Source organism: Homo sapiens, chromosome 5 (assembly GCF_000001405.40).
Source record: "Homo sapiens chromosome 5, GRCh38.p14 Primary Assembly".
NCBI classification, from domain to species: domain Eukaryota; kingdom Metazoa; phylum Chordata; class Mammalia; order Primates; family Hominidae; genus Homo; species Homo sapiens.
In genome coordinates, this window is record NC_000005.10 from 121,971,483 (window position 1) to 121,997,581 (window position 26,099).

Genomic DNA, 26,099 nt, shown 5'->3' on the forward strand with positions numbered 1-26,099 from the left:
GAACATGAATTTAGGTGTGAATTTGAGGTGATTTTGAGCGCACTCAGAAAGAAATGTCAAGCAGGAAGTTGCACATTTGGGCTTGAAGCTAAAAGGAGTGATCTCAGCTGAAGGTAAAATGTTTGACTCCTCTTTGTTTAGGTGGCAAATTAAATATGCACACATAAGATCTCTTAAGGCTAAACAATGTATTGTGAAAAGAAACACTGGCTTGGGACTGCCCCCTCAACTCTTAACATTTTATGACTGGGTAGAGGTGGATGAATTTTCAAAGAAGATCAAAATAGAGTGAGTAGAAAGGAAAGAAGAAAACTATCTTGGAAAACTAAGGGAAGAATGTTTGAAGAAAGAGAAAGTGGTCAAAAATGTCAAATTTCCATTGGATTTCAGGGGCTTTTTTGGAATTCATTGGTGTCCTTAGTGACATCTTTTAGTAGACTGATGAGGATGAAAATCAAACTGGATTTGTGTGGCATGCAGAAATAGAGATACTGAGTTTGGACGTCTCTTTCTAAAAGCTTAGTTCTCCACACAACTGAAGAGGGAGTGGTCCTAGTGAACCATGTAATGAGGATGTTTATTTAGTCTCTAATGAAAATGACTCAATCATGTTTAAAAATCAGTGGGAAACAAATGCATTAAAAGGAAGAGAATGACAATGCTATGGTAAAGGGATAATCCATAGTAGAGGTTCTAGGAAGGCAGAAGAGAATGGGCTCTAAAAGACAGTTAAAAGATAAACTCAGATATGTGTAGTGGTATTTCTTATATTGTAACTTTATTCGTAAAGGAAGATGGGTCATGGAAGTACATTTGCATTCATGGTAGTAGAAAAATGATGGTTCCCAACTGATAATTATTTTCTCCACACGATTGAAAGAGAGAAAGGAGGACGGAGACTAGAGGATTTAGGAGAGTAGGCAAAAGCTTAAAACAGGCATTGTAGAGTGAACTGAACAGAAAAATACAGGATGGCTAGGAAGAATGGGGGTCCACTTGAGGTTAATTATGATGAATTTATAGTAGACAGAATGTTACAAGTATTTGCTGTTGGCATATGACAATGAAGAACTCAGAGTGTTTTTTTCATTCAGGACTACGGTTTCCTCACCAGAGGGGCAGGAGTTTAAGAAATTGGCAGATGTTATCATGTATCTAAACTGCATAAAAAGAGGAACATTAAGTGTAGGAGTCAGTGGATTGGTGGTCCTAATGAAGTCAAAGATGGTTGTGGTGGGTGGAGTTGAACAAGCAAGCTGATAGAGGTTGTGATCACAGTGTGGAATATTTGAATTAATGGTTTTAGAAATTGAATATTATGAGTGATGACAAGGTTGACAGTGTGGCCATGGAAGTGGATGGCTGAGATAGAATAGATTAGGTCTTTAGAAAATAAGTAAAGAAGTGAAGATATAATTATCAGATGGGCTATTCAAGTGGACATGCAAGTTACACAGAATGATGGCAGAACTTAGGGTGTAAAGAAATTGTAAGTTGGTTGCTAATATCTTCAGTGAATAAGGGAGTGAATGACATGAAGGGTAAGAGAAGATATTAATTAAATGGAAGAGCCTTAAAGAAACAGGATGATGTTGATAATGTTATTTTGGCAAGAAGAATTTGAGGAATTTTTTGTGCCAGGCACTCTTGCAGGGCAAAGAAAACACTATATAAATATTACAAGACTCCTGTTTTCTAGGAGCTTGCTGTCTATAGAAAAAGACAGCCACATGAGCCATTAGTAACAGTGCAGTGAGGTAGATGCTTTAATGACAGAATCTGTATAGTGGGGACCCCAGGGATGGAGTGGTTATCCTTAACTGAAGAAGTCATTGAAGGTATCACTGGAATGACTATATCTGAACCTGAATTTTATATAGTTCCTAAAGTGAAGAAGGGGAAGAAGGACATTCCAGGAGTAATTTTTAAGATGTATGCCTCGTAACTGATAGATGAAATATAAACTCCGTAATTACATGCCATTGCACTGAAAGCTGTTATAATGTGTATTTTTTTTATAACTATAATTTCCATTTTTTGGCCTATAGCTCTGCTTTTTGTTCTTAGAGTTAAACATTGTTCTCCAGTAGGGTGATTTAAATTATGTATTTGTATGTGTGTGCATGTGTGTGTGGGGGGGGGGCATGTATGTTTACATGCACATATGCTTGCACACAATGCCCTTGTGTTTGTGGATCTTCTTTTAAAATTATACTTGAAATAATTTGTTACTAAAAATAATGAAAGATTTGTTTTATAAATATGTAAAATAAATTGCTAATTAAAAGCTAATTTGCTAATTAAAATAGTCATTCAACAAATTAAATTCCTACCATTATGAGTGAGGCTTTGTTTTAACGGTGGGAATACAAAGATGAATATGACAGGCTGTGATTTCAGGGAACTCACTGTTTATTATATTCCAAGCCCAGCAAGATATAAGTGTAACATTAAAATACTTATCTCGGGTAATACTGTGACTTTTTAAAAAATTATAACTTGTTTTTCTTAAGCTCTCAGACACATTTTTAGACTGTTGATTTATTCCTTCACTATTTATGGAAGAGGTTTGATTTCATCAAGCTACGAATATAGTTAGACAATAAAAGTAGTTAAAGTGGTAGACTAAGTCTCAAATATTAAGACTCAAAATAAAGTGTGTTTGTTCCTGAAGTAAGTGCCTTTCTTCTAATTATTGCTTTATTCTTCAAAGGTTGTGAAGATGAGAAAAGAAGTGAAGAGAATTCGAGTTTTAGTTATCCGAAAACTTGTCAGGAGTGTTGGCCGACTGAAGTCAAAAAAGTTAGTCATTTAAAGTAATGATCTTGTGACTAATAAAATGTCAAAAGTTGTTTTTATTTGATACTTTAAAATGTTTAGGGTGGGATATAGAGAAGTAATTAAATGTCTTATACACCATTTTTGTTTTGTATGCGGAGATGATGTGAGTGAGATAGAATGTGCTGTGTCAGCATGCCCTTCTATGGTTTGGACCATCATTGCTCAAGATACAGGATGAATTTTTTTGCTGCTTTTGCAAAACTCTCTTTTGGTCTTTTTAGAATGAAATTCCCTTGGGCTTGTGTGTTTTGTGTTATCAGAAGTTATTTTAAGATACTGATACAGCTTAACAAATCTAGTAATACCTTAAGAATCAGTTTTGAAGATTTTATATCACATTTTTTCTTGAATTGCTAAGTAATTTGAAATCTTCAGTACCTTATGAAAGTGTTTATTAGAACATTGTGTTCCATGTAATTTTTTGGAAAAATACAATATTTTGTATTTTCAGTATCACTAGTGTTAGTGAAAAAGTATTTTATTTATAGTTCTTTTTATGATGTAAGCATGAATACTTAGTCTTCAAGTATGTTTTGTTCCTGATTAATTTCCTATTCTTTCATAAATATGTCAGAATATAGCCCTTCTTTATTTTTTCCTTAAATGCCAGAGAGCAAATTTTCATTTGATAAAATTATAGTCAAACTCTAATTGTAAATTATGACATTTATATTACATTAAATACAATGTACGATTGATTGATTTAAAAAAGTGTTATTAAGGAACTAGAGAAGGCAAACTATCAAAAGTAATAGTCATTAATACAATGGCAAGACAGTACTTATTTTTGCCATTTTCCAACATATGGGTTTGGTTAGTAAATTGAGGTGTGTTTTGGGAGTGGGGGAAATGGACAGTGTAGGATAGTGGCGTGTTTGTTATTTAGAGATTTATTACGCTTTTCTAAAAAGAAATGAAGTGATTATCCATTACACTATAAGTCTAAAATTAATGCTTTGCCTGGCTACATATCGTAATGTATTTTTTGCAGGGGTACTGAAGATGCACTGTTAAAAAACCAAAGACGGGCGCAAAGATTGCTTGAAGAAATCCATGCCATGAAGGTAAGGACTTGTGTGGGTGTGTATGTGTGTATGTTTCTGAGTATCCTGTTATCCTGCATTTTGTTTGTGTGTGGTATTGCTTATTTGAATATTCCCGAGAGTTGCGTAAGACATCTTGTATCAGTCTGTTTGGTGAAGAATGTAGCACATTTAGAAAATTGTAACATTTAAGCTTGCATTTTTCTGTTTTTGACTGAATTTGTTAAAGTGCTAGGCTAATTTGAGTCAAAATTGTGCCAAACTAAATTCATCTATGTTTAATAATGCCTCCTGCCTCAGGTTTTTATTTTTACTGTAACTTTAGCACGAAGTCAGTTCAAGAATTAAAGTCTTCATGCTATTTGGGAATGTGGATGGTGATATTGGTGGCTGACATCATGCTTTCCTTGTTGCCAGCTCAATAAATTTTTATGTATTGGTATCGGCATTTTATTCAGTTCTGTAGTAACTTCAAATAAAATTAGTGTTAGACCAATGTGATCCCATATTTTTGTTTTTTTTTTCAGTCAGACTCTTCACTAGCATAATTTTTAGGTCTTCTTGCTGCTCTTACTTTGAGGAAACTTTCATTTACCAAATGACATGACATTAAATGTCTGGGAGACTGTTTTACTGTAGAACTTAAAAACAACATTTGGTCCCAGCAATTTTCTTAATTGCAGGGTCATTTTGCATGCATGTTTGCCTATTATATTTTGGTATAACTTTCAAGTTTTGAATTAAGTAAAAGAGAAATAAAACTCTCTAACTATTTTAATTGAGTTAAGTTATCAAAGATTCTCAGCCTTTCTTCCTTTTAAACGGATAGTAAAGTGTTTAATAGGACAAAGTTATCCCAGTTAATCTGAATAAAAACATCTAGGAAACGACTCTTTGATATGAAGTATATTTGTTTCTTGTGTTCTTCCTTCCCTCTGCTGCACACTATTATAAAATTCATGGAATCCATCTGATATAACTTTTATTTCTCAAGGTTATAATTCCCTTTTTATTCAGTCCTTCAGGAAAAAAAAGTCTTCTGTATTTGACTGTCAGTGATCATTTGTGTCTCTGTGGTTTGCAGATTATTTAGTTTTTTCATATACCTTTTTAAAATGATATTCCTATGAGAAATAAAATCTTTAGAGATTTTGTCTTGAGAATAGCAATAAAATAGGAAGTTACAATTTATCTCTTTCACTTTCTCTTAACCAAGGTTCTTACTAAATTACATTGCCTACCTAAATTTTTCCCTGTAATTTCTTCTGAATAGTCATTTTTGTAGTCTTAAATTATTCAGAGGCTTTGAGCTACTATATAATTGCTGATTTTATTTTACCATGGAAAGAATGCAGTGTGTGTGTGTATGCATGTATATATATATATAATATATATATGTGCATACACATACACATACAATGTATAGTTGGCTACTCTGACTTTAACTTCTTTTGTAATACTGTTTAAAAACTGGAGTAAACTGGAATTTGTTAAATTTTTTATATATATAAAAAATATATACATACACACACACTACATTCTTTCCATGGTTTGTTATATATAATAACTTGTATGTGGTGTATGAAGAGTTTGAGAACAAAAGATACTCAATCTTTAGAATACTTCCCTTTTGTAAATTTCAGTGATACATTTGATTAATTAGAAAGAAAAGTTGTCCTTTTTGATCTAAATGTAAAGCCTGTTTTCTGTTTCTTGTTTTGAATCTCATCAGCAAAGGGAAATCTGATTCAGTGATAAAGTTTGTAGGTTTACAAGATTACCACATCACTATCGTGGTTTGGTTTGGTTTGGTTTGGTTTGATTTGTGTTCTATTTTTCCCTGTGATTGCGCAATGGAATGGTTGCATCATAGAAAGCCAAATTCATAGCCTATGTATTCCTTAAATTCATAAAATTCATAGTATATATATGTCTTGAGTTTGTGGCAGGAGTTAGGGCAGGCTGGGTTGGCTACTCTGACTTCAACTTCTTTTGTAATGCTTTTTAAAAACTGGAATGAATTTAAATATAAAATGAATACTAGAAAGACTATATATTTGCTGTTCTTACGTGTCAAATTTTATTCCTTATTTATGGTTCTTTTACAAATTTTGTTGTCTTTTCTAAACAAAGCAAATAAATAAAGCATTTTTCTTAATTAAAAGGTCATTTGTAATTTTCTTAGGAAATGGTTATTACCTACTTGGGAGTATCAAATAAATGATGACAAAACAAACTCTCAATCTCAATTAAATTTGGAGAAAAGACCTCTGCTCATTTATTTTTCCAGAGAAATTTTTTCCTTGGCTCAGACACTGCTTCATTTTTATAGTCTTATTGATGACATACTATCCTATTCTTGCTTTCTATAATAATAGGGTATTTTGTTGCAGGATGACTTCTTTGTGAAGAAATCATGAGTATTTTTAGAAATGAGAGTTTGCTTTTTCTGGCCAACTAAGAAAAAAAATTGGCTTGATCTTTACACTATAAAATCATAGGTTCTAATTTTATAGACTATGGTGTATGAAACCCAAGTCTTTGCTGCCTTTTCTATAATAGTGTCCATACTTTTAACTTTGATATTAGTAGAAATATTGCCTTCTAAAACAGTTTCTTTTTCTTTGAAAGTTAGTTAAATTAGCCTATCAACACTTATAGATCAGTAAGTTACTTAACTGGAGAAGGAGATGGTAAAATTCAAGCATATACTGAAATTACTCAAAATGTGCAACAAGTCTCTTACTCAATAATAAAAGTAACAACTAGCTTTTACTGAGCATTTACTATGTGCCAGGCATTATATTATGTGTTTTATATTTACTGTCTCACTAGGTAGATATCATTTTTATCCCTGTCTTACAGAATAAGAAACTCAAGCTTAGAGAAACTGAGCAACTTATAACTGATTATAAAGCTAATTATGTTATCCACTGTAGTATACTGCTTCAGTAAGTTGAGAACATCCTATGATATATCCAGACTCACTTTCCTAGATATTGGAGGAGATAATTTAGTAAACATGAAACTTGCCATCTAGGAAAAAAAAGACTGAAAGATGTGCAACGTGTTTTCAGATCCTTTAATTCCTGACAGGTAAATATACACAGTAGCCTATATCTGTATTTCTTTTTTTTTTACTTGAGATGGAGTCTCTCTCTGTCGCCCATGCTGGAGTGCAGTGACCCGATCTCTGCTCACTGTAACCTCCGCCTCCTGGGTTCAAATGATTCTCCTGCCACAGTCTCCTGAGTAACTGGGACTACAGTTGCCTGCCATCATGCCTGGCTAACTTTTGTATTTTTAGTAGAGACAAGGTGTTGCCATGTTGGCCAGGCTGGTCTCGAACGCCTGACCTCAGGTGATCCGCCCACCTCGGCCTCCCATAGTACTGGGATTACAGGCGTGAGCAACCACTCCTGGCCTATCTGTATTCTTTTTTAACCTCTTCCTCTCTTAAGGCTGTTACTTCTTCCTATCCTGAATATTCTTTAAGATGAGAATTTATGTATTCTTCTTTGAGACCTTGTTCTGCCTGCTACCTCTTACTTCTCCTCTAGTTTAAAACTTTCTCCTTTTGTTCTATTCTTCCCCTAGTTTTACATTCTGAAATCTATTATTAAAATCATCCTTTGAGCTTACAATCAGCAGTTAGGATCACTTCATCTCAGGCTTCTGCACAGCTTGCTCCTAAGTGGTTGTCATTAGGAGATCACAAATAGAAAAAAATAGTATAGATTATAATCTGTAAAGGCATAAAAGTTAAGTAAAATGATACATCATCAAAATAATATAATAACTATATCATACCACTTGAACCTCACCACAACTCTAGGGAGAATCCCATTTTAGAGGACATACTCAGAAGTATTCTAGGCTGTGTATACCCCTTAGATTGGAGGTTTATCATTGTATGTATTCATATACTGTTTAGAATTTTGTGATATTTCTGGTTATATATGCTTTTTTAAAAGTTACCAAGTTTTTTCTATAGTTTCACATACTGTGACTTTGGTAAGTTTTTTTTCCTATGAATGCTTAAACAAGTTTCTCCGTAGGGTAAAAGATACCTTATTGAAGTCTGTAAGTACACTGTACTGTGTTAATTAGCTATGTCAACTTAACATTTTGTTCATTTATTCTATGAAAGTAATTGTATTAAAAGTATCGTTAATCTTACACTATAATTATTTCTGAGAGTTTTATTTGTGAGCCAATACAAATAATCGTGTTATCAAATCAGACTCAACGTGTTAGAGATCTCACCTAGAATCAGCTTTAGTAATAATTGTAAGGGTGCAAGTAGTCAAAGGGGACAGGAGAAGCAAGGAGAGAGATCTGGGACACTATGTAATTCCACAGGGTCCTTCCTTTCCACATCAGACGTGTACTTTCCAGCCCAGAGTCTCCAAATGAGGAAGTCTGGTTATTACCTCATATCAGAGAGCGTTTACATTTTGAAACTTCTCCGTGTAATATCCTAAGGTTATATAGCTTACATGATGTTCTCCAGTGTGCCAGGCTTCATAAACCCATAAATTCTGGGTTTGTTTATTGTAAGCATCCTTAACAAGGGACAGCCTACTAAGAGCATTCTTCAGATAAGGACCCTCCTCCTAACAAAAACTCATTATCCTATCTACCAGAGGGACTGCTTACCAGCATGTTAACACGAAGACTAAACAGCATCACCTCCCTTTGCTAGAGTTTCCTCCTGGTAAAGGAAGTGAATAGATCCCAAGACAGCTACTTTAATTCTTCCCTCCCTGATGTGTAATAATCTTCCTTTTAGCCTTTCTTTTGTGTTTCATAATCTCTAATAATACTGTATTTATACTTTTCCTTCCAACTTTTTGGAAAACCCTTCAAACCTATAGAAAATTGTAATACTATAATATAATAATAGTGTTTTGTATCACATCCATGTTTGTACCTTTACTATCAGTGTTGAGTTCTGGCACTTGATTTAAGTGCCATATGCCAGATTTCTCCATTGTAAAGGTATCTTTTCTGTTTGCTGTTACTAAGTAATCTGTGAAATGATACTGTGAGACTATGTGAATATCCTGTAGTCTTTCACCCAGCGATTAATGTTCTGTGGCTACATCCGTTAAAACGTTTTTATTGTTTCTATTTCTCTGCTGCAATAATTTATTTCTCTGATAGTATTTTCATTTTTTGAGAGCAATTTTTTTGAACACCATCAAGGATAGTGATAATAGCCATTTTTGCTTATGGAGAAGAAAAATGTTGTTTCCTTTCCTGTTCATATGCTGGGTAATTTTGGACTGTACCCTGGACATTATGAAGTCGCAGAGATCCTGGATTTGGTTATTTTTTTCGAATAAGTGGTTGTTTGAATGAATTTTCTTGGCTAGGTTTTAACTTTAAACTATGTTTCTTAGCAGTTCCAGTCTCAGTTTACATCTTTTGTCTTTCAGCAAGATGCTTTGAATCTGCTACTTGTCTGAACACTTAAGATGTTTAGAGATTTCTTCTCTCTCCCTTCTGGGCTTACCCTGCTCTCTCAGCGGATAAAGTATCCTGAATTCATTCTTTCAGGGGTAGCTCTGCCACTGTTTCTAAACCATGCTGATTGCAGTTGGCCTTAGGCTAAACTTTGAAGAAATGATAACTACTTGTGCTGTATAGCTTTCCATCTTCTTTCCTCCAAGTAAGCTTGGTGGACCCTCCATCAGAGTCTGTTTCCATTTACTCTCTAATATCTTCAGATAGGGCTTTTTGGTAGTATGTCCAGGTGTTATGCTTGTTTTCAGGGTTGGGGAGATGGGGATGATTAATCATGTTATCTTATTCTGAGGGCCTCAAGACACACTAAAATTTCGATTTTAGGAAGATGAAGAAGAATAAGTAAAAGAGACTGAAAAATGTAGCCAGTGAAGGAGAAAAAGAACCAAGAGTATCTAGGAAACTGTGAAGAAACTCTTTCAAGAAGGGAATGATGAATTAGGTGTTTTTAAAATGAGCACGTTTAAAAACACATTCAAATCATAATAGACTTCCTGCCTCTGGTCTCGCCTTCAAATCATGTTCTGCACTCTAACCAGTGACCTTTCTGAAATGCATATCTAATGGGACTTCTTCCCTGAATGATATACAAGACCCTTTGTGATCTGTACTCTGGCTACCTCTCTGTTGCTTCTGTATCTTCCACTTACCCTGTACCTTTTTTTTTTTTTTTTTTTTAACCAGCTAAACTGAATCCCAAACTTAGCAGTTTCAGGCCCCCTTGCCTACATCAGAGTTTTTAAACATAGCACATCTCTCCCACCTGAATAAACATTTACTCTTCCTTCAACACCTAATTCTTATGTTACTTGCTCTAGGAAACTTTCCCTGGCACTTCTGCTCTAATCCCAGAAGAAGTACTTACCTACTTTATGCAGGCCCTTTTACTTTGTATGTATTTCCGCTATCATATGGTATAGCAGTCTGCTTTCATGCCATTCCTGCTGCTTAGTCAGAACTTCTTAAGAAAATGGGTTATTTTACTCAATTAATTGTTCCTAACACCTAGTAATGTGTCTGATACATAGTGAACGCTGCTTGGCTAGCTGACTGAGTGACTTCTACTGCAATTTTTTTTTTTTACATGTTGGCACGTTTACAGTGTTGAGGTTGTTCTGAGTCTCTAAAGATAAATGGAATACTATGGAACTGTTACTAAGAAGAATCTGTAATCAGAAGCTTTTCTTTTTGCTTATTAAGTATCAGAAACAGGAGGAAAAAGGTTCTTCATTTTATACAGTCACCTTAGCCAATGCCCTGAGACCATATAACTTCAAATTTAATGTTTTAAAAGGTAGAACTTTTGTTTCTAAAAGAGCAAACAAGATGCCCTGGTTTGTTAGCCTTCTGTACTTAACTGTGACCTTTAAAATTATAAACAGGAAATCATAGCGCTATTTTAAAAGATCAGTATATAATGCTCTCCTCACACTCATGAAACAGCATTTAGTAACAGATCATCATACTGAAATCCCAGTTTGCTTTCTGGCATGTAGTTTCTACAGCTTTAAGTTACTATTTTGTATAGGTCATATTCCTGAAATTCTTAACACTTTTGCATTTTTAATATATAGGAGTCATGATTTTCATTGGAGGCCATATTTATATAAAGTCTATGATTGCCTTAAAATATTTTTGTCTTCTAAATAAGAACATATGTGAAAAATAACGATAGTATGTATTGTCTGTTTTTGAACCGCTTGCTTCTGTTTGAAAACAAAGAGCAAGTTGCAGGCCTTTGTTGGCAAAAGAGATGAAAATGCTATTACTATTTACTGAGTCATAGTATACACCTAAGTTTTAAATAAGGAACTGATTCTAAGGAGCTGATTCTGGAATTCTTCACCTAGATAAGCCTACTTCAGAGGCTACTGAGTGTATAAACAAGATTCAGCAGTATGAAGGGAGAAAGCAGTATAACATGGCTTTTTTTTTAATGTTTCCCATTTATTTTTGTTTTGTTTTGATTAGATTTTTTTGTTTTGTAATTCTGGAAATTTGAACCTAAACCTTAGCCAAACATTTCCTAATAACTGTGAAAGTATCCAAAGCACTTTTAAATTATTAATTCAAAAATTTTGGACAACCAATACTACTATCATAATTCCAGTCTGAAATAATATGGTGCTTGAGAAAAGAGTTAAATATTACAACATATTTTGTTGGAAACACATAATAGGAGACAAAGGGCCCTAGAGAAAAGCAGCAATAAGATCAGTAAGTAACTGGTCTTACAAAATGTGATGTTCTTTTTGTTTTTTTTTCAACTGGATATCACCTCAATTTGGAGTTAAATGGAGACAAATTATTTTCAAACAAAAAGCTTTTCTTCACAAGGCCATCCATTTTGTTAGAAGAGAATGTCCAGAATGAAAATGGCTGTCTGTTCGATTTATTTCTTAGAATACAGAAGTGTTCTATTTAGAATCTTCAGACTAATGTAATTGCTGGGTGTCATTTTCTCTGTCTACCTCTTTGTACCTGACAGAAGTGAGTAATTTTATATGCCAGGAACAATTTTGATGTTTTTATTTGGCATAAAAAATGTGATCATGTTTAATCACTTACATTAAACAAGCTATTTTGCCTTATTTTCTAAAAAGTATTTCACTGTGAGAGATAGGACTGTATGGTAAAACTTCATTTGACTGCTTTATCTGGTAATGTTTATGTTTAATTAATATTTTTTGGTAAGATGCAGATCATTGTACAATTGAATTATACAAGTTTTTTAAGCTTTTGTTCACTGAAACAATTATTTTTATATATTGATGAAAATAATTTATAGGCGAAAAATGCATTCAGCTTAATTTTTAGAATATGAAGATTCAACTTTTGACATGAAATTCAGCTTGGAACTAAAGTGAGACAGTACTATTTGTAGACATTTAGTAATTCTTTAACTGGCTGCCAGCAAAAACCTGACACTAGTAAAATTTCTTAGTAGTAAACTTACTTTGTTTTATTTTATTGTTCTCCTGTTCAAGACCCTAAAATTAGCTTCCTATTGTCTGCCAGATGGGATCTAATTTCTCATGAGTATTAAAAGCATTTTCATCAGTTGACCCCTGTCATCGTGCACAACTGTATTAACCTCATTTGTTTCTAATACTACAGTCAACATTATATTCCCTATACATTGCTCATTCTTACCTATGGTTTTGTCTGATAACAAGGCAGGATTTTCCACCACATCACACATACTTTTGCAAAATCAGAATGCATCATTTTCACAGCTTTCACCAACCTCTAAAGTAGTGATTTTATTGGGAAAGATGGAGGATATATGCATAAGGCTTCGTGCCTTAGGGCATATGTCATAATGGATGGGAGTTTTGTATGATTGGAGAAAGCTCCTCTAGTAATTTGGTTATATTTTTATTGTTCCCACCAACTGCACTAAACAGAAATTACCCCACTTACTTAAAATTACCCTGCTTACTTCATCTTCATACATACAGTACTTAGGTAATCAGTTTTTAGAAATCTATTATTAACACATCTTTCCTTTTGTTACTATGACAGGTTATTGGCATGTTATTTCAAACATGAAACTCTGTTTGGATTGCCTTTTTACGCAGTGTTCAGCACATAGAAGGCTTTCTGTGAAATTTCTGTGACATGTTTCAAATATAAATGGGCACATCTATGAATAGATTTTTAAGAGGTTATAGCAGTATATAATTTTTGTTTGACTTATTTGCTGTGGTGAGTAAATAACATATACAACATCAACATTCCTAGCCATAGTACACTTTAATTTTTAAGAATTTGAATTTCTATAGTCTTTTAATGCATATAAATGGCATGAATGAATGTTATTTAAGATGACCATTGCCTTCAACACGATTTTGAAAAGTTACGCTAAAACTAGTAATGACAGAGGGATCCAGAACAGAGATATTTTCCAGATCAGCTATACCACACAATCCATTATCATTGTCCAGATTGCATTGTGACTTTAGACCAGAAGCTAAAGTAGCTGTCTTTATTTCAGTTAGCACTGTAGGATTCAAAAGACAGAAGTTTTACCTGATATTTTTTAGTCTGGTACTTTGCCAGAAAAGTTCAAATACTTATTTATAATGTCATCTCAGAGCCATCCTCATGACCAAAACACTTTATTTTGGCTCAACAAAAATATATGTCTATACTTTGTGTGTGCCATGTTTGGCTAGTTTATAAAAATATAGAAATTAATATGGTGTCTGCCTTTGAGAAGCTTAAAGTCTAATGAGAAAAATGGAGAGAGCTTCACTGGGATGTATTGAAAGATGCTGATAGGCACATTGGAGGAGGGACACTTAGCACTGCTTGAGGATTCAAGGAAGTCTTTCTGTAACAGTGAGTCTTAAAAGTTGAATGAAACTTTACAAATTATAGGGTGAAAAACTTTAATTTGTATTGCTTCATTGTTTTGTTTTGGTGTTGGGTTTTGTTTTTTTTTTCTTTTTTACATTGTAAAGGAAGTATGTGTAGAATCAAGAAATACAAAGCTTTTAGATTATTTTGTTAGTTTCTATTCATGAAGTCTGTGTAAAGGAAGATAGTGATTTAAACTCAGATATCAACATGGTCAAGAGAGATTAACTGGTGTGTTTTTTTAATCTAGGTAATAGAAAATAATAAACTTGAATGAAAGACATAGTTATTAAATACACTCTCTGCCATTGTTCCTGCACAGGGGCAGTGTTTACTGACATGTCTGGTTTATGTTATATCTAATACTGCGATAACTGAGATATTTAGTGTAACAATTTATAATACCTAACAAGTAAAAATAACTTCAGTATCCATTCTTTCAACAAGCACTTATTGAGCATTTACCAAATGCCATGTACTTTTCTAGACACTTATGGTATACCTGAGAAGAGTAGACAAAGGTTCCTGATCTTTTGTAATTTATTTTTGTGGGGGGTTGGGGGATTCGGGTAGACAACATAATAAATTTAAGTTATTGTTTATCATGTTAGTAGATTATGTACTGTGGAAGAAATAGAGCAGAGTGGGAAGGATTAGGAATGATGATGTAAAGTAGATACTTGGATATGTAAGTCTGCAGTTCAGAGAAATTATCTTGGCTACAGATGGAGATTTTGGGGAGATGTTCACATATATATGATATTTAAAATAATGAAACTGGATGAAATCAGTGAGGTATTATTAGATAATAGTAAAAGGAAGAGTACCAAGGACAGAGTCCTGGTCCATTCTTAAGTTAGAAGAGAAAGAACTAGCAAAGGAGACAAAGAAAAATAACCAAGAATATGGGTCCAACCTAAGTCAAATGAAGATAGAGTATCAAGAAGAAAGGAAGAATTAACTTAACAAAAATTGATAGGCCAAGAAGGGGACAATGCTGCTGATACGTTGAGTAAGAGGAGTACTGAGACTTATTCATTAGATTTAGCAGCGTGGAGATCATCACGGGCTTAAAATAATGGGATTGATGTAATTGGGACAAAAGCCAATGAAGTGAGTTGGAGAGAAAAATAAAGAGCATTTGGAGATGGCAAGTGTTGACAAGTGTTATAATTAGGTTGATCATATAACCAAATTTCCCTGGGATTGTCCTGGTATTCATTCACCATGTGGCCCAGCATGTTTATTAATAGGGCCTTATTTTATTCTCATATGGGCCCTAGTCTGAACAACAAATACATGATCAATGTGGTTGCGATTCATTGCTGTCAGTATTCTTTTTGACACCCAAATTTAGCCAGTGGTAGCCCCTTTAAGCCAGCCTACATAGCTTGTTTGAGACCCTAATTTGAATCCCATTTGTCCTTTTCTGGCATAAGAAATTATCACAGGGTTTATACTTTTTCTGCCTCATATCCGTAATCAGCCATTTCTCTAAGAAGTCCTGCTTCATTATTAGTGGTATTTAAAAACCAAAATCCAAAACTTGGATAGTTTTTGATTGGAAAGAAAGGGAGTGAGAAACTTTTTAGAATGACAGAATTTTAAAAAGCAAACATATTACAAAGATATTGAGGTAGAAAATTTATTCAGGTGATTCTATGTAGAACTGAATGTTAAACATGGAAGTGCATTATTAAATTAGAGCAGTTAGAGCAGAAAGATACATTAAGGCCGAGTACTGAAAGAATTTAAATACCAAACTGAAAGTTTGACTTCATTCTGTATTCCGAATGGTGATATAATGGGCCTTGGAGTTACTCATCCTCGAGTCTGGAAAACCAATTAGGCTATTATAATCCACACAATCCATAAAGAAGTCTTGAACGTAGGAGTAGGATAATGGTAATACAATGGAGGGAACAGATAAAACTGACAGTACCAAAGAGAAAGCAGAAAGGGTGATAGGAGCATAACAGAAGCATAGTGAAGGGACTCCCAGTATCACATGTCTCTGAGCTGTCTAATCCTAGCAGCAGAGGATTGAGATGCAATTGGTTTCTATAGAGAACACAGGAATAGGTGTAGGAAGAAGATCTGATATTTTATTTGGAAAAAAAATCTATTGGCAATATGATGATAGAGTATAACTTTATTGAAGTTTCATCTAGAACTGTATTTAAAAAGCAGAACAGTATTTAGGAAATAAAGTTTTTGTTGTCACTGAAAGGTAATCATAATGAAATTCTCAACTGTAGAAAAGTGTGAAGATTTTGATGTCTCTCACTCTTACAAGTTATTTCAGATTCTTTATTTCAGAGAAATGACTCATTTTCAAATAGACCAAAAATTTAGAACCCAGACATTTCTTGGCACCTTCTAATTTTTTGTATTGGGGCATAATCCCTTATAACCCAAATATACTATTCCAATTTTGATCACACTTTGGAAAATACAAACATGTTTTATATTTTATTAAGTTAAAAGCCTGACTCTGATAAGATTCTCTTGAAATTAAAAATGTCAACATGGTTATTGCCTCCAAGTTGCTTTTTGTGTTTACCCAATCTCCCTTCCCACAGCACAATACAGAATAGTTTGGTTACAAATGTTTACTTTCCCTGCTTAACCAGAGGCAGCACTGCACTGCTTATACACTTACGAGTCACTATATTAGGTTGTTCAAACAAAGTCCCTGGAAAGAAGAAAGACAAGGTTGTAGCCAAATAACCAAAATTGGGATTACCTAATTTTGACTTAATTTGATATTTTGTGTAAAAGCAAAAAGTGGCATCTAGCACTGTGTGGAATAAGAGAACTAGAATAATTCTGATGGATCTGGCTATTAGGGGATGACGTCTTTAATGTAGAAAACATGAATAATATTAGTTTAACATAATTAGGAAGGAATTCAAACAAATTTTAATTGACCATCACTGACAACAGAATATAGCCACAAAGCAGAATACAAGGATTCTAGTCCTAGCCCTGCTTTGATTCTTTGAATGAGTTTCTTAAAGTTTCTTGGGTCATGATTTCCTCTTCTATAAAATGAGTGGGTCAGGAGTCCCCAAGACCACTCTTGAGCCTTGATGATTCTCTAGAAAGATTCACAGGACTCATGAAAGGCTGTTATACTCACAAAAAGTTTATTACTCTTCAAGGATACAGATTAAAATCAGCAAAAGGAAGAGCACATGGGGTGAAGTCCAGGAAAAAATAGGCATAATTCTAGGTGGCATCTCTCAGTGGAGTCATATGGCCACATTCCCATCATAAGGTAACAACATGTTCAAAGTGTTGTCAACCAGGAAAGCTCACCTGAGCCTAGGTGTTGAGGGTTTTTATTGGCTGTTAGTCACGTAAGCATGAATTGCCTGCATGGCTGACCTCAGCTATTCAGACTGAAGCCACCCAAAGTGAAAACACATTAACCGTAAATCACATTGTTAACATAAACTCTCTGATCAGATTGGTACCTTGTGGCCCACAGACTCAGAGGTCATCTCCTAGGAGCTGGCCAAGGTCCAGTCCTGATGACAGGCCTTTCTCAAGTATGTACAGAGTTGAGCAACCTAAATTTTCTTTTTCCAAATTGAAATGTATCTAGGTATTTTTTTCTCCTAAGTTCATAATGTATAACTTTTACATAAAATTTGCATATTACTATGTAGAAAAATGCATTATATTCTGCATTCGAAATTGCAGAATATTTAGAGTATTTGCAGTTATATTCAATTTAGAGAAAAATCTAAATTCAAGAGAACTACATTTATCTGAAAAAAAAAGATATTGGAATTTGTTTGTTTGTTTGTTTGTTTGTTTGAGCCGGAGTCTAGCTCTATTGCCAGGCTGGAGTGCAGTGGCATGATCTCGGCTCACTGCAACCTCCACCTCCCAGGTTCAAGCGATTCTCCTACCTCAGCCTCCTGAGTAGCTGGGATTACAGGCACGTGCCACTACATCCAGCTAATTTTTGTATTTCTTTTTAGTAGAGACGGGGTTTCACCATGTTGTCCAGGATGGTCTCGATCTCCTGACATCGTGATCCGCCCACCTCAGCCTCCCAAAGTGCTGGGATTACAGGTGTGAGCCACCGAGCCCTGCCTGGAATTAGTTTTAGATGGAGGAAAGCTAAGTGTCGCTGTCTGATTAATCATTTTACTTAGCATTAACAATATACACTAGGAAGAGCATGGTGTAACAGTATCATATAAGCACAAACTAGTTTCTTTCACAATTTTAAGTGACATTAACCACGATTAAGTGTGGTGCATGCGGGACTAGGTGATCTTTAAACACTGAATACATATAAAATGCCCTTGGAATAGATATATAACTCCTGTCTAAAATGTCTATTACTGGGTCTAGAAATGGATCTTAGTTTTCCATTTGGCATGAAACCTTTCCTCAGAAAGAGCAAGGTTGTATCTGGCACCTGCGTGGCTAAATACCTAATGTAGTTTCTCAGCCATTCACAATTATAAATCTGTATATTTCAGTGAGTCTTTTAAGTAGTGTTTTACCTTCTCCCATTATAAGTAAAACAGAGTAATTTAGAATACTTATGAGCAGTAAGTACTCTTCTTTGGAACACTCTAGTAGTCCTCTTGGCTGATTTTTTTTCCCAGTATTTGTTCTCTTTCAACTTTGTTTCTCTAAAGAAAAAGCCTAGATTGGCAACTGAAAATTTTTTGGCAAATCTTGGATTTGAATTTTTTCCTAATAAGAGACTTTACTGATTTTATTTTTCCTCTCTCACTAAGAAATAGACTTAAAACAGAGCTACCATTCAACCCAGGAATACCACTACTGGGTATATACCCAAAAAATTAAGTCATTCTAGCAAAGACACATGGACGTCTGTGTTCACGGCTGCACTATTTACAATAGCAAAGACATGGAATCAGTGCAGGTGCCCATCAATGGTAGATTGAATAAAGAAAATGTGGTCCATATATACTATGGAATACTGTGCAGCCATAAAAAAAGAATGAAATCGTGTCATTTGCAGCAACATGGTTGGAGCTGCAGGCTATATTCTAAAGCAAATTAACAGAGGAAGAGAAAAGCAAGTACTTCATGTTCTCATTTTCACTTACAAGTAGGAGCTAATCATTGAGTACCTATGGACTTAAAATGGGAGCAGGAGACACCGTGGACTACTAGCGGGTGGAGTGGGGAGAAGTCTGGGTTAAAAAATTCCAATGGGGTACTATCCTCACTATCAGCATGACGGGATCTTTACTCCAAACCTCAGCATCACACAATATTCCCATGTAACAAATCTGTACATGTACCCTTGTATCTAAAATAAAAGTTGGGAAAAAAAGGAAATAGACATTTAAAATGTTTCTACTCTGGTCCAGTTCTGTTCAACATGTGTCATTGTGCTTGAGTCTCATAGTCAAAGGTGAATAAGACACCATTCTTACCCTTGAAGAGCTTACACTCTAGGCTCTTTGTTCCATTTTTCTGTCAAGAATATGGAGAACAAAGGTTATTGTAAGCAAAAGTTGTTTGTTTTATGTATGTCCTCAACACATTTTCTTTTGACTACATGTCTTATTGCCTGACCACGTTCTCACTTGAAGCAGAATTGTTCCCAACAAGCTGGTTAGAATATATGTACACTTCTGAATAGTTAGCCAGAAAGCTATAATGATTCTTTAGTGCCCAAGCCTCTGCATACCATTTGTCTTTCAGAGTTTGCTACTTTTTAGCCAAATTAGGGCTTACCTGCTTTCCAGTGCACTTGTAGAAGCAATTTATAATGAAGAGAGTTGATGTATTGTCAGGTAAGGGACCCCAGCCTCAAATCCAGGGAAGTTGTCCGTCATCCCAGGCATTCTTTGTAAATAATGAATTATTTCAGATCTTGAAAACTCAATTCTGCATGTCTCCTCCAGTTTTAATTACTGATCTTCTGGATTCTACTGAGTTTTTCTATGACTGGCTTCCATAATCAATTTGATATGTAATTTATATGTTCTTAAAACATAAGTAAATTTTGTGGCCAAATTATAATGTATTATTGACACTATTAAATTCAGTCCTACAGTGATAAAAAAAAAGTTGTTTAAAATTCTCCCTTAAAAAATAGATATTGTGAGTTAAAATGTATGTAAATCTAGGTTTCAGAGCAGTTAGAGAAATAATTTGCGAGTCCTGACAATTTAGCATGAACTTCCCAAGCAGACTTTGCAGCAGACTCTTAGGAGGATTCAGAAAAGCTATGTGTGAAATTTTCTGTAATCTTTGAATAGGAACACTAATATTTAAGGTGCTATCTGTGCAATTGTAATAGTACATCAAAAGGAGCCTTATTCTGAAAGTCAGTACCTGATTTCTTCTGAATAAGAAGTATAGGAAGATAAGAATAACTTCATAATATATCATTTATTGCAGTTTTTGTGTTGTCTAAAAAAAGTCTTAGTTTCTCATTGTTTACTTAAAATAGTACCTGACAATTCCAGTTATGGCACAGCTTTCCTATCCATCCATATTTGCTAAACACAATTTTTACATTTTATATGAACCATGTTTTAGGAGACAGTATTCCCTTTTAATGACACATATAGCTGTATTTAAAACTGAGGTAATAAACGAGTTGGTCCAAAATACCGAAGTATAAATGGTATAATACAAAAAGTTTAAGCCATCCAAATGCATCTATATTTTACTTAGTTTTAAGGTAAATGTCTAATTATTGGCATTATTTATGGCACGTAGTGTTTGTCCGAATAATATGGTATAATGAATTATTTTATAATACGAAGACTGGTAGGAGATGGAAAATACATTAGTTTCCTAGTGCTTCTGTATCAAATTACGACAAATTTAGTGGCATAAAACAACACAAATGTATTGTCTTACAGTGCTGAAGGTTAGAAGTCCTAACAGTAACAGGACTGTATTATTTCTGTAGACTTTCAGTGGGGCCATATTCTCTCTGTAGGCTCTAGGGGAGAATTTTTCCTGCCTTTTCAGCTTCTGTAGGCCAACTGCATTCCTTGATTCATGGTGTCTTTCTCCATCTTCAAGGCAAGCAGCATAGCATCTTCTCTTCCCTCTTTCTTTCTCTTCTCCCCCCTCCACCTCCACCATTTCCCACACTTTCGTTTTTTTGTTGTTGTTGTTGTTTTGTTTTGTTTTTTTTCTCTGCATCTCCTTCTCTGACCTTTCTGCTACCCTCTTGTAAGGAAGATGGTGATTACATTTGGCTTACCTGGATAATCCAGGATAATAACTCCATCTTAAAAAATTCTTAACTTAATTACATCAGCAAAGTCCCTTCTGCCATGTAAAATAACATGTTCATAGGCTCATGGACGTCTTCCAGGAGCTATTTAGCCTAGCACACAATGTGTAATTAATCGCTACTTAGGTTCTAGAAGTAGAGGTTATTGTAATCATGCTTTGTGTTTGCGTATCATACTACTAGAACTACAAATGGTTTTCCCTTTCTCAATCAAATAACATGTTTTCCACTTATTAGCCCATTTTAGAGGTATTATATTCCTAAATTATTCCCTTTAGTTTTTATTACATGGATTTTTTAATGTCTTAAGTTTAATATCTACCATGTATCTGGGGCTTTGGGTTTCTGGGGCAAAAAAAGTAAAACAGTGAATGAGCTTTTTAAAAATTTTGATACTCTGGCTCCTGCTATTGCTATGAGTAATAAATTGCCCCTTGTCTCCGACCCAGGAGCCTCGTGTCTTCTACCGACATCTGTGATACTGTATTTGGCTAACTTGTTAGCTTGCAAATCTTGACATTGGGTATTGCTAATAATTAGTCCAACAAATTCACAGCCTTAGTGGCAAACATATTTCTTTAAATATACCCAACCTGATTAAATTCATATCAACTTCACTTTCTATATATCTTTTAAATATATTTTGTTGATTTTGAACCTTCACATCATTCTCCCTGTAATATTTCTGAAAGACCACAAAAGTTGGCAAAATTACCTGCCTGGGTTGCTCAGTCCCTCACATTTATGAAAAAACATATGTATATATTCCTTCTGCTGAAAGGGTTATAATAACACTCAGCTCATATAAATCATGCTTCATTTTAAAACCTGTGTTTCTCATACCTAGAAGATTCTGATGGTCTTGTTTAAATTGTCCTATGACATCATCACAAACCATGAAATATAAATTGATTTTGTGTTAGTTTTTCATGAATGCTTTTAACCGTGGTAGAGATTTTTTGAATTTATCATAGAGGCAGTAGGCCAGAAAGATGATGATCTAATAAAGGTACTAGTTAAGGTCAGCCTTTCTACCACCCAGTTATAGGACCTTGGACAAATCACGATTTGAGTCTTACTTTTCACTTGTTAAATGAAGAACTGACAGAGGTAATTTCGGTTACTTTTAGTTGAGTAATTTAATTCACTTACTTTCATTAATTTTATTTACCAATAGTTGTTTTAAGGCTAATAACCACTTTAAATGCTTTTCATAAGTTTTGATATGTAGCATTTTCTTATTGTTAGACTGACATATCTGTTTATCTTTCCCCTTTCTCAAGACTTGTTTATTTGAGGTAGTTTTATTTATTTATTGTTTTAATTCCAGGTGGAAGGGCCTTTTTTAATTTTTCTTTTATTGATTAGTTGATTTTCTTTCATTTCTACTTTTTCATTGTGACCGGAGATTGTTGCTAATAATATTTTACTTGATGGAGCCTACTGTTACTGTACTTTCTTTGACTTAATATGTGATAATTTTTATCAATATTCCATGTGTACTTGAGAAGAAGATACAATTGTTGTTAAGATCTTGTAATTTTATTTCCCGATTTTGTTCTTTCTTGACTGGAAGTTGTGTGTCAGAGTCTTGAGCTAATAAATAGTATTTCTATTTCCTTTATTTCATGAAGTTTCTGCTTTATGTAATAGTTGTGTTTTATTTGATGCATAGTCATAAATGTTATCTTCTTTGTCTTCATTTTGTTTTCTTTGCCTCAGCTTTGTCTGAAACACAGTCTCAGCACCTGCTTTCTAATTTTTCCTGTTTGCCTGGCATATCTTTGAAGCTTTTTAAATAACTGTTCTTTGTGAGTCTTTATTATATACAGTATAGAGTTAGGTTTTGCTTTGATTCCATTTGAAAATATTTTTCTTTTAATAGGCACATTACACTAATTCACATTCCGTTATATTCCTGATGTTTCCTTTCAACTCTGTCATATTTTATGGGAGTTAATTCTTTTCTCAAAATTAAGATGTTATTTAATATTAAGTTTCTTAAGATACGGAAAGGAACTTAATAATAGTGATAAAAATAGACACATAACTAAAATTAATTTGTTTTATTCTTTCACAGGAATTGAAACCTGACATAGTAACTAAATCTGCTCTTGGTGATGATATCAACTTTGAAAAAATCTTCAAAAAGGTATATCTGCAATAGATTATATTTGTCTTATGAAAAGTTTCTCATCTATATTGCTTACTTTTTTCTTGAAGAGAAAACTTACCAAGAAGTCATGCTATTAGTTTGTAATTAGTTTTCCTAACTGAACTCCATTACTGCCACCACAAAAAAAATTTATACTAACATATACATTTTGTTTTGCTGTAATATCATACCTTCGAGGTCCTTAAAGGTATGTTGAACTTAATATGACATTTCATGTATTATATAAAAATTAGTCTGCTGATCATACTACTTAAAACTAAGATGCATTCAACAAGAAGAGCTAACTATCCTAAATATATATGCACCCAGATTCATAAAGCAAGTCCTGAGTGACCTACAAAGAGACTTAGACTCCCATACAATAATAATGGGAGACTTTAACACCCCACTGTCAACATTAGACAGATCAACGAGACAGAAAGTCAACAAGGATACCCAGGAATTGAACTCAGCTCTGCACCAAGCGGACCTAATAGACATCTACAGAACTCTCCACCCCAAATCAACAGAATATACATTTTTTTCAGCACCACACCACACCTATTCCAAAATTGACCACATACTTGGAAGTAAAGCTCTCCTCAGCAAATGTAAAAGAACAGAAATTATAACAAACTGTCTCTCAGACTGCAGTGCAATCAAACTAGAACTCGGGATTAAGAATCTCACTCAAAGCCGCTCAACTACATGGAAGCTGAACAACCTGCTCCTGAATGACTGCTGGGTACACAACGAAATGAAGGCAGAAATAAAGATGTTCTTTGAAACCAACGAGAACAAAGACACAACATACCAGAATCTCTGGGACACATTCAAAGCAGTGTGTAGAGGGAAATTTATAGCACTAAATGCTGACAAGAGAAAGCAGGAAAGATCCAAAATTGACACCCTAACATCACAATTAAAAGAACTAGAAAAGCAAGAGCAAACATTCAAAAGCTAGCAGAAGGCAAGAAATAACTAAAATCAGAGCAGAACTCAAGGAAATAGAGACACAAAAAACCCTTCAAAAAATCAGTGAATCCAGGAGCTGGTTTTTTGAAAGGATCAACAAAATTGATAGACCGCTAGCAAGACTAATAAAGAAAAAAAGAGAGAAGAATCAAATAGACACAATAAAAAATGATAAAGGGGATATCACCACCGATCCCACAGAAATACAAACTACCATCAGAGAATACTACAAACACCTCTACGCAAATAAATTAGAAAATCTAGAAGAAATGGATAAATTCCTCGACACATACACTCTCCCAAGACTAAACCAGGAAGAAGTTGAATCTCTTAGTAGACCAATAACAGGAGCTGAAATTGTGGCAATAATCAATAGCTTACCAACCAAAAAGAGTCCAGGACCAGATGGACTCACAGCCGAATTCTACCAGAGGTACAAGGAGGAACTGGTACCATTCCTTCTGAAACTATTCCAATCAATAGAAAAAGAGGGAATCCTCCCTAACTCATTTTATGAGGCCAGCATCATTCTGATACCAAAGCCTGGCAGAGACACAACAAAAAAAGAGAATTTTAGACCAATATCCTTGATGAACATTGATGCAAAAATCCTCAATAAAATACTGGCAAAACGAATCCAGCAGCACATCAAAAAGCTTATCCACCATGATCAAGTGGGCTTCATCCCTGGGATGCAAGGCTGGTTCAATATACGCAAATCAATAAATGTAATCCAGCATATAAACAGAGCCAAAGACAAAAACCACATGATTATCTCAATAGATGCAGAAAAAGCCTTTGACAAAATTCAACAACCCTTCATGCTAAAAACTCTCAATAAATTAGGTATTGATGGGATGTATTTCAAAATAATAAGAGCTATCTATGACAAACCCACAGCCAATATCATACTGAATGGGCAAAAACTGGAAGCATTCCCTTTGAAAACTGGCACAAGACAGGGATGCCCTCTCTCACCACTCCTATTCAACATAGTGTTGGAAGTTCTGGCCAGGGCAATGAGGCAGGAGAAGGAAATAAAGGGTATTCAATTAGGAAAAGAGGAAGTCAAATTGTCCCTGTTTGCAGACGACATGATTGTATATCTAGAAAACCCCATTGTCTCAGCCCAAAATCTCCTTAAGCTGATAAGCAACTTCAGCAAAGTCTCAGGATACAAAATCAATGTACAAAAATCACAAGCATTCTTATACACCAACAACAGACAACCAGAGAGCCAAATCATGAGTGCACTCCCATTCACACTTGCTTCAAAGAGAATAAAATACCTAGGCATCCAACTTACAAGGGATGTGAAGGACCTCTTCAAGGAGAACTACAAACCACTGCTCAAGGAAATAAAAGAGGATACAAACAAATGGAAGAACATTCCATGCTCATGGGTAGGAAGAATCAATATCGTGAAAATGGCCATACTGCCCAAGGTAATTTACAGATTCAATGCCATCCCCATCAAGCTACCAATGACTTTCTTCACAGAATTGGAAAAAACTACTTTAAAGTTCATATGGAACCAAAAAAGAGCCCCCATCGCCAAGTCAATCCTAAGCCAAAAGAACAAAGCTGGAGGCATCACACTACCTGACTTCAAACTATACTACAAGGCTACAGTAACCAAAACAGCATGGTACTGGTACCAAAACAGAGATGTAGATCAATGGAACAGAACAGAGCCCTCAGAAATAACGCCGCATACCTATAACTGTCTGATCTTTGACAAACCTGAGAAAAACAAGCAATGGGGAAAGGATTCCCTATTTAATAAATGGTGCTGGGAAAACTGGCTAGCCATATGTAGAAAGCTGAAACTGGATCCCTTCTTTACACCTTATACAAAAATCAATTCAAGATGGATTAAAGATTTAAACGTTAGACCTAAAACCATAAAAACCCTAGAAGAAAACCTAGGCAT

At 34.5% G+C, this 26,099-nt stretch overlaps 1 protein-coding gene across 2 annotated transcripts in view; it reads left to right on the plus strand.

Moving 5' to 3' along the window:
• The window catches only part of SRFBP1 (serum response factor binding protein 1), a 116,961-nt gene that overhangs the window by 9,508 nt on the left and 81,354 nt on the right, over window positions 1-26,099 (plus strand). For both annotated transcript variants that reach the window (XM_017009111.3, NM_152546.3), the window contains exons 2-4: window positions 2,714-2,802; window positions 3,833-3,905; window positions 23,117-23,188. In XM_017009111.3, coding sequence (XP_016864600.2) covers window positions 2,714-2,802; window positions 3,833-3,905; window positions 23,117-23,188 — 234 coding nt within the window. The remainder of the gene's footprint in view (window positions 1-2,713; window positions 2,803-3,832; window positions 3,906-23,116; window positions 23,189-26,099) is intronic.